Source organism: Homo sapiens, chromosome 13, assembly GCF_000001405.40.
Source record: "Homo sapiens chromosome 13, GRCh38.p14 Primary Assembly".
NCBI classification, from domain to species: Eukaryota; Metazoa; Chordata; class Mammalia; order Primates; family Hominidae; genus Homo; species Homo sapiens.
The window spans coordinates 25,569,139-25,589,838 of NC_000013.11; the positions used below are offsets into that span (position 1 = coordinate 25,569,139).

The window sequence follows — 20,700 nt, forward strand, 5'->3', positions numbered from 1 at the left end:
AGGCAATCTTGAATTGAAGCTAAATTCTCACATAAAGTACTTTTGGGGAAAATTTCTTACCATTTTTGCAATGCAGGCCTTGAGGAATGTGTAAATTCCCTAAGCTCATGACTTTACTGAACTATAATTTAAGGTGCCTTTTCTCTTCATGATAAGAAGTAGCCATGTAAATAGCTGTGATTTGCTTCCATAAAATTCTGCTTAAGTCACATTCACAAGACAGAGAAGAAACTAAAAATATTCTTGTGGAAGCCGTCATTCATTTATGACTAAAAAAACAGAAAACTCCATCAAAAGAGGAAACACATAGCTGCTTCCTTCACATGAAGATATAAATCTATCTCAATTTTATAGCCAGTTGCCTATTTAAAAGGGATGCACTAGAACACTGACATTAAAATAACCCCAGGACAAGGAAGCTTGCTTATCACCCCTGCCTTGAATGTAATTCTGAAAGTGCTAGCTCCTGCAGACAGGTGAACATTGAAAGTTTATATATTGGGAGGAAAAGGGAAAACTTCTCATTTGTGGGTGATATAATTGTCTACTTTGAAAACCTAGGATAGTCAACTGCAATTCAGAGAACTAGTAGGAGCTCAGTGACAATTGGATATTAACTTACAAAAATCAATGTTTCTACTTACATCCCAACAAGAAACTACTGTAAAATGTAATGGAAATAAGATTCCATTCATAATATAAAAGGCAATAGATAAAATGCCTTACACAGTACTTCATGTATAGTGGTCACTGAAATAATTTTTGAGCAAATAAAATAATTAATAGACGTGCCAGGTCTTATATTTAGAATATTTAGAAGCTTTTAATACATAGGAAGACACACTTTTCTTAGATGGGAAGACAGCATTATTTTCCCACTAGTTATGAATGTGCTCTAATCCCAATAAAAAATTATATATTTTTTTCCCAGAGAGAATAAGAGAATTTTATTAAATACATATCCAGGGCAATTCTGGTTTTCGTTGCTGTTCAATATTAATGAGCAAGGGATGCACTGCTTTACAGGTGTTGAGAGATTATAAACTTAAAGAATAGACACTGTATAGAACAGATGTCGGGGTGGGGAATGGGAGCCTGGAGATGGGAGCATCTTCTGTTTATGGGGCCTGAGGTACAGCAGTGAGGGAGGCAGAACACACGCTTCCGGAGGATCTTGCGAGAGTGAGGCAGCAGCACGTGGGTGAAGCAGAAGCACAGGGAGGCGGAAGCAGAGGGGCAAGTGGAAGCACGTGGTGAAGTGCAAGCATGTGGGGAGGCGGAAGCACGTGGGCAAATGGAAGCATGTGGGCAAGGCCGAGGCTCCTGGGGAGGCAGGGTGTGTGGAGGTACAGGAAGGCTCTTTCGTCTTTTCTCTCCCCATCTCTTGAGCTAAAGCGCAGGAGCTGCATTCCAAGAGAAACCTGGGGATTAGTGCGCGTCAGGAGAACCGGCTTGGGGACTCCAGACCAGAGCGGTAGGAGGGGGATCTGAGGTCCATATTAAGGACCTCTACCCTGTCCTACAGGGAGCAATAGGATGACTGGATGTTAGTTGGGGATCTGCTTGTGTGAGCCCTGGTGCCTGTTGAAGGTGTTGTATCTGACACTAATCCCGCCTCACGTTTGCAGCCCACAGCCCCTTGCATTCAGGAGTTCCTCACCCTTCTGGCCGTGTGCCACACGGTTGTTCCTGAGAAGGATGGAGATAACATCATCTACCAGGCCTCTTCCCCAGGTGAGGGCTCTGGCCGGATGCGCCCTGCTGGCCCCTTCTCAGGACACCTGGGTGTTGCAGTTATTCTTGGAGGTGTTGCCATGTAGTCCGTCCCACAGACTCGGCTGTCTGCTGTTGGCCTCACCCTGTGGCCAGGCTGTGGCTACAGGTGCAAAGCCGTAGAGAGCCCGGGATGGGCTCTCCTGACTCTCATGACTCTTTTTTAACAGCAAAGGGAGGACCCCGGTTATGTTGCATCTCCCAGCAGAGGTGATTGGGCTTGACAGAGCTCTGAAGAAAGAACAGAGCTGGCTTCTTCCTCATCCTCCCCACCTCATAGATTTTCCGCCTGCTGGGGAAGCTGTGCATGGGGGTACTCTCTACCCACTTCCTGAGGCTTGGGAATCCCACAGCACAACTAAAATACTGCCTTGCTCAGAGGAGATGTTTGGTGGGAGTCATGGGACTATTAGGTTCATTGGAGAGAACTTGATCCCAAGCGAGAATAGCAGGAATAGAAATCATTCTTGTCCTGGTGAATTAGCATATATCCAAGCCTCCCATCTAACAGGAGTGCTCATTTCAGAACCCTGGTGGTAGGAAAAGCAAGTGCTTCTCTATCCTGAGTCTTTACTATTATGCAGATAACACCAGGCCTCCTTCAGTAGAGCGGATTTTGTTAATTTGAAAAGTGACACTAAACAGAATTCTGTCACTACCAGTGATATGTCAATGTTTCACCAACTCCCACTTGACAGATGAAGCTGCTTTGGTGAAAGGAGCTAAAAAGCTGGGCTTTGTCTTCACAGCCAGAACACCATTCTCAGTCATCATAGAAGCGGTGAGTAACATGCGTGTGCACATTTCAGATCACCTGCTTTTGTGAAGATTGTGTGTGTGAAATGGCATGTCTATTGTAAATATGATAGCTAAATTTCTCTTTCAGTGAAAAATTAAGACCTGTGACAAACTGGAGTTAATGTGATTATATTAGCTTGTTCGAGTTGTTTTGCATTGCAGTATTGTTTTCCCCTTCAAGATGCTTTTCCACATGTCTTTCATACACTGATGTGAAATTATTTGTAGCAAAGAACTTCACGAATCTACTCTTTGTTCTATAATAATTGGGAAAATAACTTAGCGGCCCACTTGTCTTTGAGGGCAGGTTCCACATCTCTTTGTAGCCTCAGAGCCTAAGAGTTCTTACTCAATGAAGCCTCACAGTCCACTGGGCTTCAGTCTCTTCAGCTGGGAGAGGAGTCAGCGTTAAGATCTCTCTCTCTCTCTCTCTCTCTCTTTTTGAGACAGGGTCTCACTCTGTTGTCCAGGCTAGAGTGCAGTGGTGCAATCTCGGCTCACTGCAACCTCTGCTTCCCAGGTTCAAGCAATTCTCCTGCCTCAGCCTCCGGAGTAGCTGGGACTGACTACAGGCACGTGCCACCACGCCTGACTAATTTTTGTATTTTTAGTAGAGACGAGGTTTTGCCATGTTGGCCAGGCTGATCTCAAATTCCTGACCTCAAGTGGTCCACCCGCCTTGGCCTCCCAAAGTGCTGGGACAGGCGTGAGCCACTGTGCCGGGCTTTGATCTCTTTTATCTATATGAGGGATCCCCCCTGCAACTGGAGTCAAGGGGTTTACATGTTTTCTGATTTTTTCTGAGTTTCCTTACCTACAGGCCAAAGGGAGAAATTTAGTGATAGGAAAATAATTATATCAAATAGGAGGTCAAATACAGACCCTTGGAATGGGCAACAGGGGAAAATGATGGTTATGACTGGTGAGGCAGTGGTGTTTTTCATGATGACCAGTTAGAAGGGCTGTTTTATTGTTGTCTGCATTGATGATAAGGGTCTGGGGCTAGTCCCTGCCATCCCTTGCCTTTCCCTACTCCTCCATTTGGGGAAGACGCAGGGATTATAGTTTTTGGCTTTATGGATGCATCCTTAAATCCATAGACCTTTAATGCATTTGAAATTCACTTCCAAATGGTATAATAACTTCGTATGGTTCCTGACTTGGGAGTACTGTAGTAAGTTTTTTCTTTTAGTTATATGCAAAACCTATAAAATATCTTATCTTATACAAAGTACCCATTTATTGGCATCTTCAGTTTCTTATGGAGTACAGAGATGAGATCATGTGATCATGTTTACTTTTACTATGCTTATTTTAGTCAACAAAGGGAATTTAGCTTAAGGAAATGTACCATCATTAAAAGTGGAATGAAGTACTGATTGAATATAGAATTTCCCGTACAGAAGCTTTTTTAAAAATGAGGTCTTTTTCCCCCCTTCAGTTGGAGGAGAATTTTAATCTGAACTATAGGATTTTCAGTTGTGTGGGTGCCACCGCATGTCTCTGCATTGCAAAAATGGAGGTTGGGGGTTGGGGAGCTTGGATCATAGGTGAGAGAGACAGAAGAGAACAGGCGCTTCCACTTCACTCACAATGCCAAATAAATGTGGAACCTAGAGAGCCTATTGGTGTTGTCCTCCTGGTGTTATAATGCTGCATTGACACCTCTTTGTTACCTCATTAAAGTTTTAAGGTCATATTTCTGGGGGTCACAAAAGACTGCCTGATTAGTTAGGACTCGTAGATAACAGTAATAAAAAGAATCCTACTCAACCATTCATCAAACCACCAATTCTCAAATTATAGGTTTTGCATATAAGTAAAAGAAAAAACTTACTGCAGTACTACCAAGTCAGGAACAAATTCTCAAATTCCTACATATTTACATGAAATGTCCTCGCCAATAGTCAGAACAGCCACATCCATGGGCTGCATGTGGACGTGGTTGATATAACTGTGAGAGAGGGGGTGGCTCCTGGGAGTGGCAGCCCTGGTGCTGGGTGGTGGTAGTAGCACTGGGTGTCTTCTGAATGGGGATATGATGGAAAGTTAGGACAGGCTGTGGAGAAAGGGAACTCGGAACTCGTGGATCCAGAGAAGTGAATAAAGATTGATGAAGGCTGGATGAAGTGGATCATTAGTTGTTTTGTAGGATGCAAAGAGAAGGAGTGGAGAGTTGTGGGTGTGAATGAAGATAATGATTCCGTCATATACTTGGTAATTTGAATGTGTTACTTCATTGATTACTTCTCTGAGCCCTAAGAGATGAGTGCTTTTGCCATGCATAAGAAAGTCACACACTTAGAGGCAGAAACTGGATTCAAACTCACATGTATTGGGTGCCAAAGGCCATGTTCTTTCCACTGTGAAGTGTTGGGGAAATGAAAAGATTAGATTAAAAATCTGAAAATAGCATGCGCACCATCTGGAATTTTTAGATGGAAAAAATTGTGAATATTGACATTCTAACTTGAAAGAACCCAAAGAAAAAGAGCGTTTGATTGATTGCTCTGAGACCAGGTACAGATTCACCATCTCTTATCTGCAAATTCGAAACCCAAATGCCTTTGAATTCCAAAAGATTTTTCCTAAATTTGGTGAAGAGTTATTTGGCAGCAAAACCTAATCAGAACTGACATGAAGCTGTTTATGATCTTTATGAATCTCATTTCCTGATATGCATACATTTTGCTGTAGAAAGCGGATGTGTTGTGTACCAGCATGTTACCCCAGACCCTGCTGGGGACATTATGATAGATGGTCTAGAATATGTCTATATAATTTGTAAAATCCTGAATTCAGAAGCATAACTGGGCCAAAGGTTTCTGACGGACCTGTGCAGCTGGTGTCCTCTATCTCCATCTCTTGGAAGTGCCTGCACTCCCCAACTGTTAGCACTGAAGAAACGTGAGAAGCTTCCACCAGAAGAGGGAGCTCTGACCCCACCAGACTTGTGAGAAAACAGTACATGTTGCAAAGGGCTAGAAGGTGGGAAGAGAGAGAGAGAGCATATATATGTCTGTTTATGCTTGGGAGACAATTGCTTTGAGATTTTAATACTTTGCACCTCGGTTAAGAGCCTATTTTTCTTCCTTTAGATGGGACAGGAACAAACATTCGGAATCCTTAATGTCCTGGAATTTTCTAGGTATGTTTCTCTTTCATACGTTTGAAATAAAATAATTATATTTATTTACCAGCTTCATCAGAGTGTTTACATGATTGTATGGTATGATTCAATATATTACTTAAGTATTAAATATAATAAATGTATCTCCATAAACTCTTTTCTTCTTGGAATTTGTGACTTTCATTAAAGAAAGTGAAGTAGGTTATTTTTCTTTGTTTTATTCAAGAGAAATGCTCTACTTCCATGTCCTCCTTTTTCTTTAGATTTCCAGAGCCTGATGTTCTTGCATCAGCAGCTGCAGACATGTCTGAATAGTTTGGAGCATGTGATGGGGGCATTATTTTCATTGGCGTTTCCCAAGTCCCATGAGGTCATTCCTCTTGCTCCATTTGAGCACTCCTCTGGAGATCTGAGAAACTGACAAATGATGACAGATGAGATCAGTTCATCCCATTAGAGGCTGGGTCCACGTAGGGAAGTTTTCCTGGACTTATTCGGAAGCATTCTTCCCCAGTACAATTTTAAAAAGTTAGACCCAGGAATATTTGTTGGACTTTTTTGTTCACATAGAACATTCATAGTTGGTTATAAGGAAACATATCTTAATTTTTTGTTTCTTTGCCTCTTTTTAACATGGAATTGTCAGTACTAAAGCAAAGTTCTGTTGCTATCTCAAAGGCATCTTTTCCTATTATTAAAATTAGGTGGATTTTTGAATAACCTTTGTTAAACAGTGTTATAAAGCTCTGTCTGCTTTATAAACTATTTTTAATAAGGATTAGTTTTTTATCTTTGTGTAGGAAATACTTTCCAGCCCTAGTCTTTAGTTTTAGGTTTGCAGGCATCGACTTGGAACCATGGGGAGGGGAGGAGGGATGGCTGATTACGGTGGTGGCTCATGTAGGAAGTGGTGACAGTGTCCCTGCGTGTGGAGGTGAGCGACGTGCTAGGCATCTCTCCAAACTGTGTGCTTCATCTTTTATTGGAAACTGTGCAGTGCCCTGTGATTACATTAACTGGGACCAGCAGTTATTGGACAGGCAAGGAGGAGGAGAAAAGGGAGTTAGATAAAAACAGGTGAATATTGGTAGAGACACAAGGATGTATTAAAATGTATATATGGGAGAATAAGAAAGAACAGAAAGATAATTTGTGGTTACAGTGGTGAGTCTATTTCTTTTTCATGGACTCATCTCTTTCCCAGTGCCACTTAATCTTGATAATACTCCCGCGAAGTACTTGCTTTACACATTGAGAAACTGAAACACGGGTTTCAAGAACTGCTAGGAGTGCCCACCTCTAAGATAGTTGAGAGAGAATGCAAATCCAGGTCAGCTAGAGCACTATAGGTTAGGATGTGGGAATTTACCCAGAGCTGAAGAGAGACTCTCCCCGACTCTTAGAGACTTATAGTCCATTGGGAACCACCACACTGAAAGGCCACAGAGATGGGTGGTCTAGGGCCCTCTGTAGTTGGAGTGTGCTTCAGGAGGATGAAATGTTGGCAAAGGAGGATCAGAATGTGTAGAAGAGGAGAATGGTGAGTCCCGTGTGTGCTCGAAGCCTGGTGGTGGTTCATGGGAGGGTTGGTGGGAGATGAGGTGAGGCTGCACAGGTGGACGGAGAGCAGTAAGAAGAATTCATAGGCGGTGGAGACTCACTGAGGGCTCGGTGAGTGAGGATGGGCCATGAGGAAAGACGTGTGAGGAAGTGTAGATGCTGCGGTGAGGGGAGAGAGAGTTCCTTGGTGCTAAATTGGGAGTGTTCTGCGGGTTTGTGATTTCTTTCTACTCCAATTAAAAGATGACACAGGGAGGAGCTTCTGAGTTAAGTGGATCTATACTGAGTCTCCCACTTTCCTACCTACTGGGCAAGTTACTTGATAGCTTAGAGGTGGAAAATAAAGAATATTTTTAGAGAGTAGAGTCAGAAGTCAATCAGATGTGGACTGTCAGTGCTGGAATTCTCCTTTTCTGTTTTTCCTACTGCAAATAGCGGTCCTAGTCTATTTTCATGGCAGGGAAAGAAATAGGCTTATGTTCATTAGATGTAAATAAAAAGAGTAGGAGATACACAGTTAGGTCCTACTTTGAAGAAAAAGGCAGGGAAAGATAGACCTTGTTCATTTTTAGGAACCCCAGACCCCCTTTTGTTTTGATTGGTGTTCAGCTGTGGGATATGCATCCTGTAAACAGACCAATGATGACTTTTTTTTTTTCACTCTCCCAGTGACAGAAAAAGAATGTCTGTAATTGTTCGAACTCCTTCAGGACGACTTCGGCTTTACTGTAAAGGGGCTGTAAGTACCGGAGAAGCGTTGTGCGTAGCGGAGTTCTTGGCAGCTTTGTTAATCTGCCGCTTTTCCTAACTGCTTTCCTCATCATTCCCTGATTGTTTGTCCAGAGTTGAAAGACTGTTTCAGGTAGGCTGTGAAGTTGACTTAGTAGTAAAAGCCCACTGAAGATAATGGTGGTTCAGGGCAGTGTGGCAAAGATGGTCAGTGAAAAGCTTACTGAAATCGTTGGTTTCAGAAACAGTGACTCCACGTGTCATGCAAAATCCTTGAATGGGAATTCTTATTCCAGTTTTACCAGCATTGTGTTTTGACTTTGGGAAGACAAAGTAATTTGTGTTGACCTATGATAATCTTGAGTATTCTGATATATATTGGTTCTCTAGCACCTCTTCTTCTCAATTGTTATGTTTTTTTCTCATACATTATAGAGAGACGTGTTTTAGGTACAAAGGCAATGTCCATGTGTAGCTGCATTATTACTGCCCCTTTTAGTCAGTTTCCTAGGTCAGGCTTTTTGTCCTGTATACCTTCTAGTAACCAAATCTAAATGGTTTATCTCAAAGGAAAGATGTTATTGCTTATGAGTCTTACTTATAGAACTAGATCCTGTTAAATTTTAGTCTTATGTATCGAGGGAAAGAATTATTAAACTTATTTTATTTGACTATGTCAAGAATACAGAGCTCTCCTAGGATTAATTAGTGGTTGACAGTATTACTAATCTTTACCAGTTGTGGCAAGAAGGGTGGTTTTATTTGAGTACACGATGAGTAGAGCTTTTTACAAATGAAGGAATGCATGGGAATTCTAAAGGCATTATATTTGGACTCGCTAAAGAATTCTGTGTTTATGGTAAAATGACTTCAATTAAGCTCATCTAGGTTTTGTTCTCATATGATATATTTTTGAAACTTTTTGTTTATTCATTTGCCATTGTGTTCTAAGTACCACATCGAGTACAACAGGTGTCAGTGTGAGGTGGTAGAGAGAGGAGGGCTGTCAGTATAGAAGAGGTACATACGAAAATGTTGCAAAGGTGTGTTGTATTTTTATAGGATTTAATTCTCTCCAAAACCAAACTCAGTTTAAAAAAATTTTTGTAATAGCCTAAAACTATGCAATTTGTAACACATTTGATGGATTATCTGTGGGATCTGGTCCCCCAACCCTTCTTGTCAGTCATGGAAATAGTCATAGGCAGATGGGCTGTGCACCTGTGTGTTTCTTGGCAGAACTGAGTTCAGCGCCCAATGGGTTGTGCCCTCTGTGCTTAGGAGCTCCTCCCGTATTGGGAGGCAGGATTGTACTTGAGTAATTTGGGATGTGCATTTTACCCTTTCTCCTTCTGCGCAAACGCCTGATAAACTTTGGGATATGAGTTTTGCAAATTTTGGTGAATATAGGCCCCCATGTATTCCAATGATTCTCCTGTATTTCTGGTTCTCCCCAGCATATTTTTGTTTGGCTTTTAAGATAACAGATTTTGGTTTTGTTGGACACATTCATACCCAATTTGTTTTCCAAAGCTCATGCCTGAGCCCAGCCAAATGCTAAATTCCTACTTACCCACTCGGGTATTCTCATGCATGTTAGATAAACAGAAACAAAGCCATGCTTAGTATGCTGGCTGGAAGGTTTACTGAAGGCTTTGCCAGTCACAATGTTTCCCTATTTTATAGGATAATGTGATTTTTGAGAGACTTTCAAAAGACTCAAAATATATGGAGGAAACATTATGCCATCTGGAATACTTTGCCACGGAAGGTAAGTGGAATTTGGAAATGCTGTTTTTGGCCATTGGAGCTGTACTTTCAAGCATGTTGTCTTGATTTCCAGGGGCACATTCTTCCAGTGCCTGCCCCATCCCCTCCTGTGCCCATGGCAGTGACAAGATGCATAGCCAAATCCAAACTCATTTACCTGTAGATGCCTCTGTCACTCATCAGCAGTGGTGCAGAGGGAGAGACAGGCCAACGCACAACGTGTAGAATCACCTTTAGTTACTAGTCCCTTTCTCAGAAAACTCATATGGTTATTTTCCTGTCCCTCTCTTGGTGTCCTTATGTCACTGGCTTATCCATGACTTAAGGAAATAATAATTCATGGAACCCATAGTGAGCAGGAAAGGAGTTCTCTGGAAGGCTATAAACAACACTGATGTCAGGTGTTCCTGATAGCGAATGTCATGATAGCTGGAGCCACACTCAAGTGCTAACTGCTGCTTTCTGGCCTCTGGCTCTGCGTGCATGCACATATGAGCACATGCTCACACACACGCATGGGTGTGGCTGCCTGAAAGCCTGGATCTTTCATGGGATAGCACGTGGGGCCTTTCCTTGCTGTCTTGAAACACACTTCCCACCTCCTCTGCTTGCTGAAACCTGTTTACTGCACATGGATCATGCACAGCTCCCGAACCTCTCTGCCATGGAGAATTCACTCTTCTGACTTCTCGCGCACTCTCAGCCTTACGGAAGAGGTAGTTTATGTTAGAATACAGGAGAGCTGTTTTTAAAGGTCCCTTGGTAGATGTGGGAGTGTTGAATTAGAGTGACCTAAAGCACAGAGTCTCTTCAATTTTTTTGGGCATGCTGATGGAAAAGGGAGCACAGGCTGTCCCCTAGGAGGTCACGCGTTCTGCCTGCCTCCATTCACCAGTGGCTGTCTTGCAGGCTTGCGGACTCTCTGTGTGGCTTATGCTGATCTCTCTGAGAATGAGTATGAGGAGTGGCTGAAAGTCTATCAGGAAGCCAGCACCATATTGAAGGACAGAGCTCAACGGTTGGAAGAGTGTTACGAGATCATTGAGAAGGTAACCGCACACAATACAGTCTTTTCAGCTCCATGAAGGACTTAACCACCTATTTCACAAAGTATTTGAACAGGAATCCTTTTACTATGTAGGGATGTTCTCTTTTCTTGTGTCTTAATGAACCGTTAGCTCTGAATCATTTTCTTTGCTTTAAGAAGCACTTAATTTTCATGGTCTTTCTGAAAGCTCTAGCCACCCTCAGCTAAACATTAATGATAGCTTAAGAAATATCAGGTCAAAAACAGCATCAGCGACTTTCTGGGTTTGCTTAAGATTAGGCTTAATGAGATTAACTCACGCTGTTGAGTTACAGGAGCAATCAGAATGCTGTGGAGGCTGGTTAGATGTTGTACATGCTAAGCTTTCTCGCACTAACTTATTCTAATGATATTTAAACTTTGCCGTTGCTACTCCACATTGCCTACTTTGATTTTGTTGTTGTTGTTATTCTTTTCAGTTTATCCTAAGGCTTTAGCTCACTTTCAATTTATTGGTTTCCTTCAAGTGTGGGAGCTGGGTTTCAGCTTTTTCTGTCTCATGTTGGCAGCCATAGGGCCATCCAATTTCCAGTTTCTATAACTTTTTTTTTTAAATATAGAGACAGGGTTTCCCTCTGTTACCCAGGACCCAGGCTAGAATGTAATGGTGCAGCCATAGGTCACTGCAGCCTCAAACTCCTGGGTTCAAGCTAACCTCCTACTTCAGCCTTCTGAATAGCTGGGACTACAGTCTCATGCTACCATGACTGGCTAAGTTTCATATTTTTTGTAGAGATTGGGTCTTGCTATGTTTCCCAGGCTGGTCTCAAACTCCTGGGCTCAAGCAGTCCTCATGCCTTGGCTTCCCAAATCCCAAAGTACTGGGATTACAGGTGTGAGCCACCATGTCTGGCCCAGTTTCCATAACTTTGAAACCATCACTTATTTACTGTTTTCATTCCTTTGTTGGTTTAAAAAAATTCTCCTCTGCTTTTTTTTACTCAGTTTTTTTGTTTAAGTTTTATATTCAGTTATTTATATTCAGTCATTTTAATGTACTGAATTAAAATGAACTGAATAAATCTGAATTCAGGTGTTTATTTGCCCTGTTTTACTGGAAATAGCCAAAATTATTTTTAGAATTAGAAAAAGGTGATTAAATAGGTGATGTGCCTGTGGTGGATGCTCAAGAGTTGGATCTTCCCACAGTCTGTGACCAAGTAGAGGTGCTATGTCCTGGAGAGACTTGGGATGTGAGTACATGGAGCAGGCCGTTTGTACAGTCTCTGGAATTTGCCCGACCAGCAGGCACAGTGCGGGCAGCTGGAGGGAACCAAACATCCACACCCATCCTCAGCATGAGCTGATCTGCCCTGGGCCTTTAAGAGGACCAAAAGGGGCAACATTTTATAGCTACCCTCAATCTTAAGATACTTGGATTTTTTTTCTCTCACTGTTAAATCCTTAGCACCACAGGTCTCTTACTCCTATTTTGCCAGGTAAGTGTATTATCTAGAATTAGTTCTCCTCCTTTGTTAAATGTGACATAATATGCTACTCATTAGTGGACTGAGAGGAAGGGCTCAGGTACTGTCAGTGTCCTCGGGATAACCTGCCCATCTGCTCTGCTGCCAGATGGCTTCTATTCTAACAAGCCCCTGTATCAAGAAATCAGTGATGAGTACTGGGCTGCCTGTGTGTGTAGAGTGAGTCCACCATTGCAAGGCATTTGGAAATGCCATCCATCCAGATGCCATCTGTAGACACAAGTATAAAATAGAGGAAATAGAACAACTGTCTCAGAACCGTTTGATTGCCTTTCTTTGTCAGAATTTGTTAGTGCTGTTCTTAAGTATGTGCCAATCTTTAACTGAGGATATTTTTTCAATGTAGAATTTGCTGCTACTTGGAGCCACAGCCATAGAAGATCGCCTTCAAGCAGGAGTTCCAGAAACCATCGCAACACTGTTGAAGGCAGAAATTAAAATATGGGTGTTGACAGGAGACAAACAAGAAACTGCGATTAATATAGGTAATTATTTTTACAAATAATTTCCTGATGCTGGGTTTTGTATTTGTTTTTCAAGTATCTTTTAAATGTGTCTAAATGTTTCTCAAATTCATTGACAGATGATGTTTTATAGGAATCTTCATTCACAAGGCTAAGGAAAATTGACCTAAATCAAATGAAGATGCCTCCATGCCTGTTACAAACATTAAAACTATCATAGTTCCTGGAAAAGAATTAGACACACTTACATAGGGCATAGAATTCAAGATTTGACAGCTTTGATTTTCTTATTGCTTTCTTCACAAAATTTTAGTCTGAGACTAAGAGAGCATGTTTTTACTAGGTTTAAATATGCGTTATTATTTTATGTAATTATAACCATTTTAATGGTTTTGCCCATTAATGGGCTTTTCTAAGAGCCTTGCATCTTTCCCTTCCCAGCTTGTTGACAACTTCCTTGACTGCAGAGCATCACAGAGATGAAAATTGAAGAAAAGGAATTTAAGTCAGGATAACTCTGCCGTTGTTAAAGGAGCACGTTTTAAGTTTGAAAAGGAGTTGAAGCTACTCATTTTTTAAAAATCTAATCTTGATTATTTGAAACATTTAAACACTATCTGGTACTTTGATCAGCATTATGGTGTAACAAGACCTGGTGCATATGTGGTAAAATGAACACTGCATAACTTAGAATAGCTTGCTAGAAGTAGACTCTATTTCTATATCTGTTTCTATGTCAGTGCTCTGTGTTTTAGGAAGAAACCTGCTAGAGCCTTTGTATTTAAGTGACTATAGTCCTCTTCAGAGTAGTCTTCTTGGAATATTCTCAACATAATCCAATGGTGTCCCTTTCCTGAAAACCTTATCTTTGAATCAGCTTTGTCTCTCATGTAACCTCAGTTGTAAATAATACCTGCCTTCTTGGATAAATTTGATTTAAAAAAATAGACAAAAGCCATGTAATCATTTCTTGTCAGGGATATAGCTAATTAAATGGAAGTTGGGCTCCCAAACAACGGAAGTTAAGCTCACAAGAGAGTAACATAGGATTCATAAACAGTCCCTGAAGAATCAGCCATAGACTTTGTCCCTGGATTTGTGCTGGTTGTCATTCAGATGCATGGTTTTGGAGAACAGTATGATGGTATTTTAGTGCAGAATCATCACTGCTACTAGAAAATACAAACCCAAGCTTACAGCCCTTTGATGATGTGTCAGTAGCATTTTTACAAATGAAGAATAACACATTTGCTTTTTGTATGCTATATTTCTGTATAAGTATATACATTGACCCTTTATGTGTTATTTTTCATATAAGTTTGGCCTAAAACACCTGCTATGGATCTGTGGCCCCTGTTGTTTGCATGCTAAGTTGACTGTTACCCTGAAATACTTACCTAAAATTTAGGTGATATGCTTTCCACCCTATTAGAGCAATGTGAAAAAAGTGGATAACCCCTCAAGTTAAAATTGAGCTGTAAAGTGGTAACCTTTCTTAGTTTTCCAGATCTTGAGCGTTCCCGCTGGCCTAATAACCTATGCGTGTCACTGGCCCTAGACTGAACTACCTTCAGTGTGTTCTTGGATGTGCCCTGGCTGGAAAAGCACCACAGCTCCCTCTCACTGCCTCTCATCCACACCGCCCGGCCCCTGGGAGCACACGCAGCCCTTTTTCGTGTGTGTTCATTTTATTATACCTGAGCCTATCTAGCTAAGTTTGGGATAAACACAAGAGAAAGCAAAGTGCTGAAAATCAACCCAGAAAACACAAATGGATTATTACTCAAAAACGAAAGTTTTACTTGTATGTGATGAGGCTGCTCTGAGCCTTATGAGATAATTGATACCTGTCCAAACAATTTTTTAAAAATAACGATTGTATTATTTTGTACTTTTTTTCTAAGTGGGTGTAGTAACGTGTAGTGCTCATGCCAGAACCGCTCACATCATTTGCTATCTCTTAATTGATCTTTCTTAGCAAGTACTCTCCAAGACCGCTAGAAGATGATGCTTTATAAGCTGAGGACTTTTTGTCAAAGTCTTATGTTTATCCTGGAGGCTTTCTCTATTCACATTTTATCTAGTGTATCAGTCAGATTCAAACACATCTTGGGTGTTACTAAGTAAGCTTCTAACAGCTAGACAATTGATTTCTTTGAGAGAGCTATGTCTGAATTGTTTCTTCACTTCACCTTTGGAACTGAAGCTTGTAGCCTTGGGTGACGCCGAGAATTTAAATGTCGTCTTGTGATTTAAAGTATCTGTCAAGCCTACAAATGATGCAGAAGGCTCAGGAAAGCATATACGTCCGGACATTTTATTAGACTTTTCAGTGTGGGACCACAGGCGGCAGCTGTCAGCAGCATGAGGTCATGCTCTAGATACAGAGTGGGTTTCTAAGCCTGTTTTCTAGTCATATAGCCCTCATACCCCTGGTAGTATGAACCATTATGGACCTGTCTCCCATAATACTTTACATTTTCATGCATCCTGTGTGGATTTTAAGGTATCCAGAAGATATTTGGGAAGATCAAGTATCTAGCAGTTCTCCTTCTAGATGAAAAAAGGGAAGCAGAGCAAGTAAATGGAGTGTCTGGCAAGTGCCAGGCACTATACTAGGAGTGTTTTCTGAAAACTCTTTTTTTAATATTTACATATGAACATTCTTATAGCTCGAGGAGGAAATTCTACATTTCCCAGGGCTATACCCTACTTAATGACCAAACTGGTACTAGGTCTCAGGGCTCTTGACTTCTGGTGTGGGGCTTATTTAGAGGGATTCACATAGCTTTTGCAAAAAATGCTTTCTGAAATTTGATTTAGAAGACCACGGAGAATGGTACTACATTTCATCCATTCCAAGGTGCACATTGTTTTTACATTTTAATGTCTCTGAAATGGGGATGTCGTATAGTTGTTGACTCTTAGCTTTTAATTGTCAGCATTATCTTAGTGGTATGTACCATAAGAGTTCATCTTTAGATTTGGTGACATTAATTATCTTTGGTGTTTGGAGGTGTTGGCTCTTTTTAGAGTTTGGTTTTTTAAAATATATATATCTATCTCGTAGTTTGAGAATTTATTTTTAAAGTTTAACTTTTTATTCATACCTTAGAAAAAAAACACACAGTCAAATCAAGTTCCAAGACATGTGTGTCTCCTGTGAGCCAGTGAATTGTATGTAGATAGACAATCATCTTGTGTATAGGTTTTAGTAGTTTGAAATTGGCATGTTGCCAGAATCCTGCAACACTGTGCTTGAATTTATGCTAACTAGCTGTGTTTTGAGGAGTTGGCGATTTTCTCTTTTAGCTTAAAAATTTGGCATCAGCTGGTCTAAAGTGAAATTTCAGATGTAGCCCTTGTGAATTTCGTAGTGGTCATTTCCTTATTACCACTGAATAAAACGTCTATTAAATAGTTATGCAATAGATGTGGAGTTTTCGCAGTCTGTAATTTTTTTTAATGGATGTAGGATGAGTGAGAACAAAATCCTAGTGTGTATTCCATTTTAAAGTAATTAAGTTGGCATTAGCTTTCCTCTTAAACCATTTCTGAATTGAAATTTAAAGTCTTTCCCCCACCCTCCCTGCATTTTGTTACCCATCATTTGATACTTTTAAAACCATTTCTTATGGTCTTAGAGGTTTATTTTTTAAATTTTAATACATTTTATTGTGTATAAGGTAAACAATATGATGTTATGAGATACATATAGATTATCTTTGAAGTTTAATTTTAGGAAGTGACTCAATATGTCACTTGCCCCTCCTGTAATTGCCTGTACATTTTCTTGTTCATTAAAAGGAAGGCGAGTTGCCATTCTCAGGTGAAGCTGGGCTGTGAGGGTGACAACACTGGTGATGTTCTCAATCTTACTGCTGTTTTTCACAGAAGATTCAGTCCTGTATTTCTTGATTACCTGCAGCTAACATTGCCAGGTGCTCCACTATAAGCTTGGGCAACTTACATTCCACACTTGGGGCATGAGTTAATTATGAGACAAATCAGAGAATGAAACAGATGAGGAAGTACCAATTGTGCAGTGTAGATGTTAATTATGACTGGCTTTTGTAATAGTTACTAGCAAATGTTATCTATTATGTGCCCGATACTGCACTAAGTCCTTTACAGATGTTTTATATTTAATTCCCTTGGAGAATTTAAAAGGCATTATCCCCTTTTAAAGATAAAACTGAGGCACAGAGAGATGAAGTAACTTAGTCTAGGTCATACAGATGTGAGAAAGCTGAAAATCTGAGCACTTAACCACAACACACAGTGTTCATTTCTCAGAAGGAACAATATGAGTTGTAAAGGACCAGGGAAGTCTTCCTGGATGAGAGGAGTTTAAAACTTGAGCCTTCAGAGTTTGTTTAAAACAAAAATGACTGAGAATAGAATGGGTCAGGATGTCCCAACGTGGGGAGAAGCCGTGAGGTGAGGTTGAGGGAGCATGTTCTTCTGTGTGGCGAGGGTTCCTGAGAAGGGCCTGAAGGGTCTCAAGGGAGAGGTGCCCAGGCGTGTGCTCCAGGGACAAGGCCTCAGCTCCCTGGTTCTCTGGATGATGAGGGGCTCTGGACGGGCTGTCTTTGATCCCACCTGGGATAGCTTAAAAGACCGTCTTTTGTCATGCATTCTTGTTGTCTGCCAGTGTTTTTCATACAGGCAAACACTGACTGACCAGATTCTCTGTAAAGCTATTGAGAACCAGTAACATGCTCACTGCGGGTTGGTACCATGTTGAATCCTGTGATGGGTAGCTTGGTGGATGTGATCTCAGGATATATGGTGTGGAAGGATACATTGTTCCTGACTTTTTCAAAAATGTCTCCAGAGAAATCTGGATTTGATATCAAAACCAGTGTTCTCCTTTTTTAAGGAGGAAACAGGTTGAGAGAGCTGACAGATTTGGTTTAGTAATATTTTCTAGTGTGAAGCATTATCTTGTATTAAAATCAAGTCCTGCCGTAAGTACCATAGACTATATAATATTTTGGTTTCTTTGAATGTTGATTATACTCAGGTAGTAGAAAGACTAAACCCTTTTGTAGTATACTGTTAATTTCAACTATAGTAAAAAATGAAATCCCAGAGGTTCTCCTCTCAGTCATTTTATGGCCGTCTTGTTAGATTGCGAGATTAAAGAAGTAGACCTCAATTTACAAGTTTGGATTGACATTCTATACCTGGCTCTTCTCCAAGAGTTGATCTCATTTTATCCAAAAACATTAGAAATCAAGCACACCAAATGTGGATTGACACAATAAATAATTTGCTACATTAGTTAAGCCACAATTAACTGGGTTAAACTTCCCTGGTCTGTCTAGTGCGAGTGCTCCAACTGATAATTCTCTAAACAAAATCTCACTTCCGTATCCAAACTAAAAACAGCAACAACAAAACCCTTAACCTGTTTCTTCTCAGAAGCCTTTAGTTTTGTATATTTAAATTCATGAAAGTGTCAGTAGTTTTTTTTTCTCTCTCCCCCTGCCATGGCTAGAAAAAAAAAGACTGAGTTTTTCCATAATATCTTTGTGTAGCTTCAGTTGTCAAATGGCATTTTGCTTAAATTGAAAAATATAAAATAAAGCAGCAAGCGAGGGCTTAAAAATTACAGCCAGCTTCTGCAGCTGTTGTTGAAGTAAAAAACTACCAGTAAATCCTTTTGCATTAGTTACACTAAATTTGTAACAGTCTATATTGCATGAAGTTGCTGAAAGTCTCTGGGGATGAAGAAAGAATAAATCTAACATAGAGGGAAATGATTAAAGTTGCAATATCCCTCTTTGCAAGTGAAAAGAAAATGTAGATCTCCCTTCTGGACCTAATCTAAGGACTTATAGGAAGGAAGAATGCATTTGTAAAATTTTAATGGGAAACAAAGAGTTTGATTATTCTAGTCCTACCAGGCAGAGCTTTTAATGGCATTTTGAGAGGGTCTCAGTTTTATCCATCACTGTTGTTAAAATACAGACTTGAACTAGTTTGTAAATGTATAGAAAATTGCTTCTTGTTCCCCCCTCCTTTTTTTTTGTTTTAGAGATGTAACAGGTATTTGCCCATGTGGTATTGTGATTTAAAATTATTCAGTTTGTTTTGGCTTTAAAAACAATATGTGTTTGTTTTAACAAGAGAAATAATCTGATTCCCTTGAGATAACTGTTGTTAACAGCCTTGCCTATGTCTTTTTCATATTGCCTTAAAAAATTAACATTTGGATGAAAAGCCATAATTTTGCGCTTTAAAATTTGATCTTGGAGGTGCTTTACAAAATGTTCTACATGGCGGTCCTTAGGAAGGATGTACTTTCTGAAATACACAAACGAAATTTTTTTACTGTTTCCTTCAACCCCTTCATTCCCCCAAAAACCCACAACATGGTTTTTCTTGGTCTTAATTTTTGTCTATCTTGAATTTCATTTTGTACCTGTTAGGAGGATTTCTCAGGGATGAAAAGGGAACCTGCTAGTAGGTCTGAGCACATAAATGCAGCAGTTCTGCTCCTTGTCCCTTAGGTAAATGCCGTCTTCTTTGCTAGCCACGTGTAGCATCTGTGAGAAGGATGTCTTCTTCCCTGTCCTGTGAGGAGAATCCTTACTCCTCCCCCTGGCTGTAGGAACAGTACTGGCCAAGCCCTCCCTTGAGATTGTCACCTGCTTAGTTGAAGGCTGTTGATTGATTTCCCTTTTCTATAATCCTTAATCCATTATCTTAAGGTGCTGAGACAAAACTAGTTGTGGGGGCCAATATTCTGTGGAGAAGGATTTTTTTCTTGCCTTTTCTCAATGAGAGAGATTGAGTTGGGCGTTGGTGGAAAGCACAAGTCGTCGCTAACCCCCCAAGGCACTGAGAGGATGGCAAGGTGATCTGAGAGACAGGCCAGTGCCCTGGCGGACACCTCTGGTCTTGGAGTTGCGAGAGCCCTCTCCTCGCCACCGAGGGTGTGGATTGGAGGGGAGGCATCCTGAGAGGCGCTCGGCTTGGTCCATGACTGCTCACCCAGGGCAAAGTATGAGTAGGAAAGAGCCCAGGGCTTCCTAGAAAATAGTTCTCCTGCTGGGAGGGAAAGAGAAAATACTATCTCGCTTAACCCATAGAGATAACTTTACTGAAAAATGAGAAGGAAATTGTTAAGAACTAGGAGTACTTTCGTTCCAAATAAGCCTTTAAAAAAAAAAGCCTTTTTAAAATAACAACCAAAGAAAGATTTTTTTGAAATGTGGATTACTTTAAATTTTTCACAGGAAAAGTGACTCCCTCAGTGTATTCCTTTGAAACCTGTTGTGAGAATCAGCTGCTGTCTTAAAGGAAGGGAGGGAGCTAGCTATCCCAGTGGGTGTGTGTGTGCTGATTTAGGGGCACCATTGGGGTCCACTGCCTTCCTGAAGTGTTCACTGTTACTTTAGACGATCCAAGGCTTATCTTAATGTTATACAAGGATAACAGAGATAAAGAAAAATCCACTAAAAATTGGGAAGTATTTATTTTAGCCTTTAGTTATAAAGACATTCCCAACTAGTTCTATTCAATCTGTACAAGAATCAAAATCAACTTACTTTTCCTACTCCTCACTGTTACCCTATTCCTCTGTGTGAGCCAATAGGCTTAAAGTGGCAGATATAACCAAGGAGGTTGAATTTAAGGAGCTCACAGAAGGAAAGAGAAATTCACATGTTGTCTCTTCCTCCACTTCAGGGTATTCCTGCCGATTGGTATCGCAGAATATGGCCCTTATCCTATTGAAGGAGGACTCTTTGGATGTAAGTAGTTTTTCAAAGTTGTATTTGCTTTGCTATAACAGTATTAAACTCTTTCTTTCTACTATCATTGATAATCAGGGATCATGTTTTGCTAAAAAACAGTTATGAAAAAACTGTGTTTATTTTCTGTTTATATTTA

The 20,700-nt window shown here is 40.5% G+C and overlaps 1 protein-coding gene across 13 annotated transcripts in view, besides 1 other annotated feature; it reads left to right on the forward strand.

Annotated features, from left to right (window-relative positions):
• Window positions 1-20,700, forward strand: part of ATP8A2 (ATPase phospholipid transporting 8A2) — a 653,878-nt gene that overhangs the window by 197,165 nt on the left and 436,013 nt on the right. For all 13 annotated transcript variants that reach the window (NM_016529.6, NM_001411005.1, NM_001411006.1 and 10 more), the window contains 8 exons: window positions 1,629-1,734; window positions 2,472-2,554; window positions 5,670-5,719; window positions 7,931-8,000; window positions 9,677-9,761; window positions 10,670-10,809; window positions 12,681-12,819; window positions 20,497-20,561. In NM_016529.6, coding sequence (NP_057613.4) covers window positions 1,629-1,734; window positions 2,472-2,554; window positions 5,670-5,719; window positions 7,931-8,000; window positions 9,677-9,761; window positions 10,670-10,809; window positions 12,681-12,819; window positions 20,497-20,561 — 738 coding nt within the window. The remainder of the gene's footprint in view (window positions 1-1,628; window positions 1,735-2,471; window positions 2,555-5,669; window positions 5,720-7,930; window positions 8,001-9,676; window positions 9,762-10,669; window positions 10,810-12,680; window positions 12,820-20,496; window positions 20,562-20,700) is intronic.
• Window positions 5,403-5,452: an enhancer, noted in NCBI's record as "active region_7488". NCBI's record gives its function as "activates an Ori minimal core promoter by ATAC-STARR-seq in GM12878 lymphoblastoid cells {active_cell/tissue: GM12878}" and the evidence as "EXISTENCE:reporter gene assay evidence [ECO:0000049][PMID:35858748]".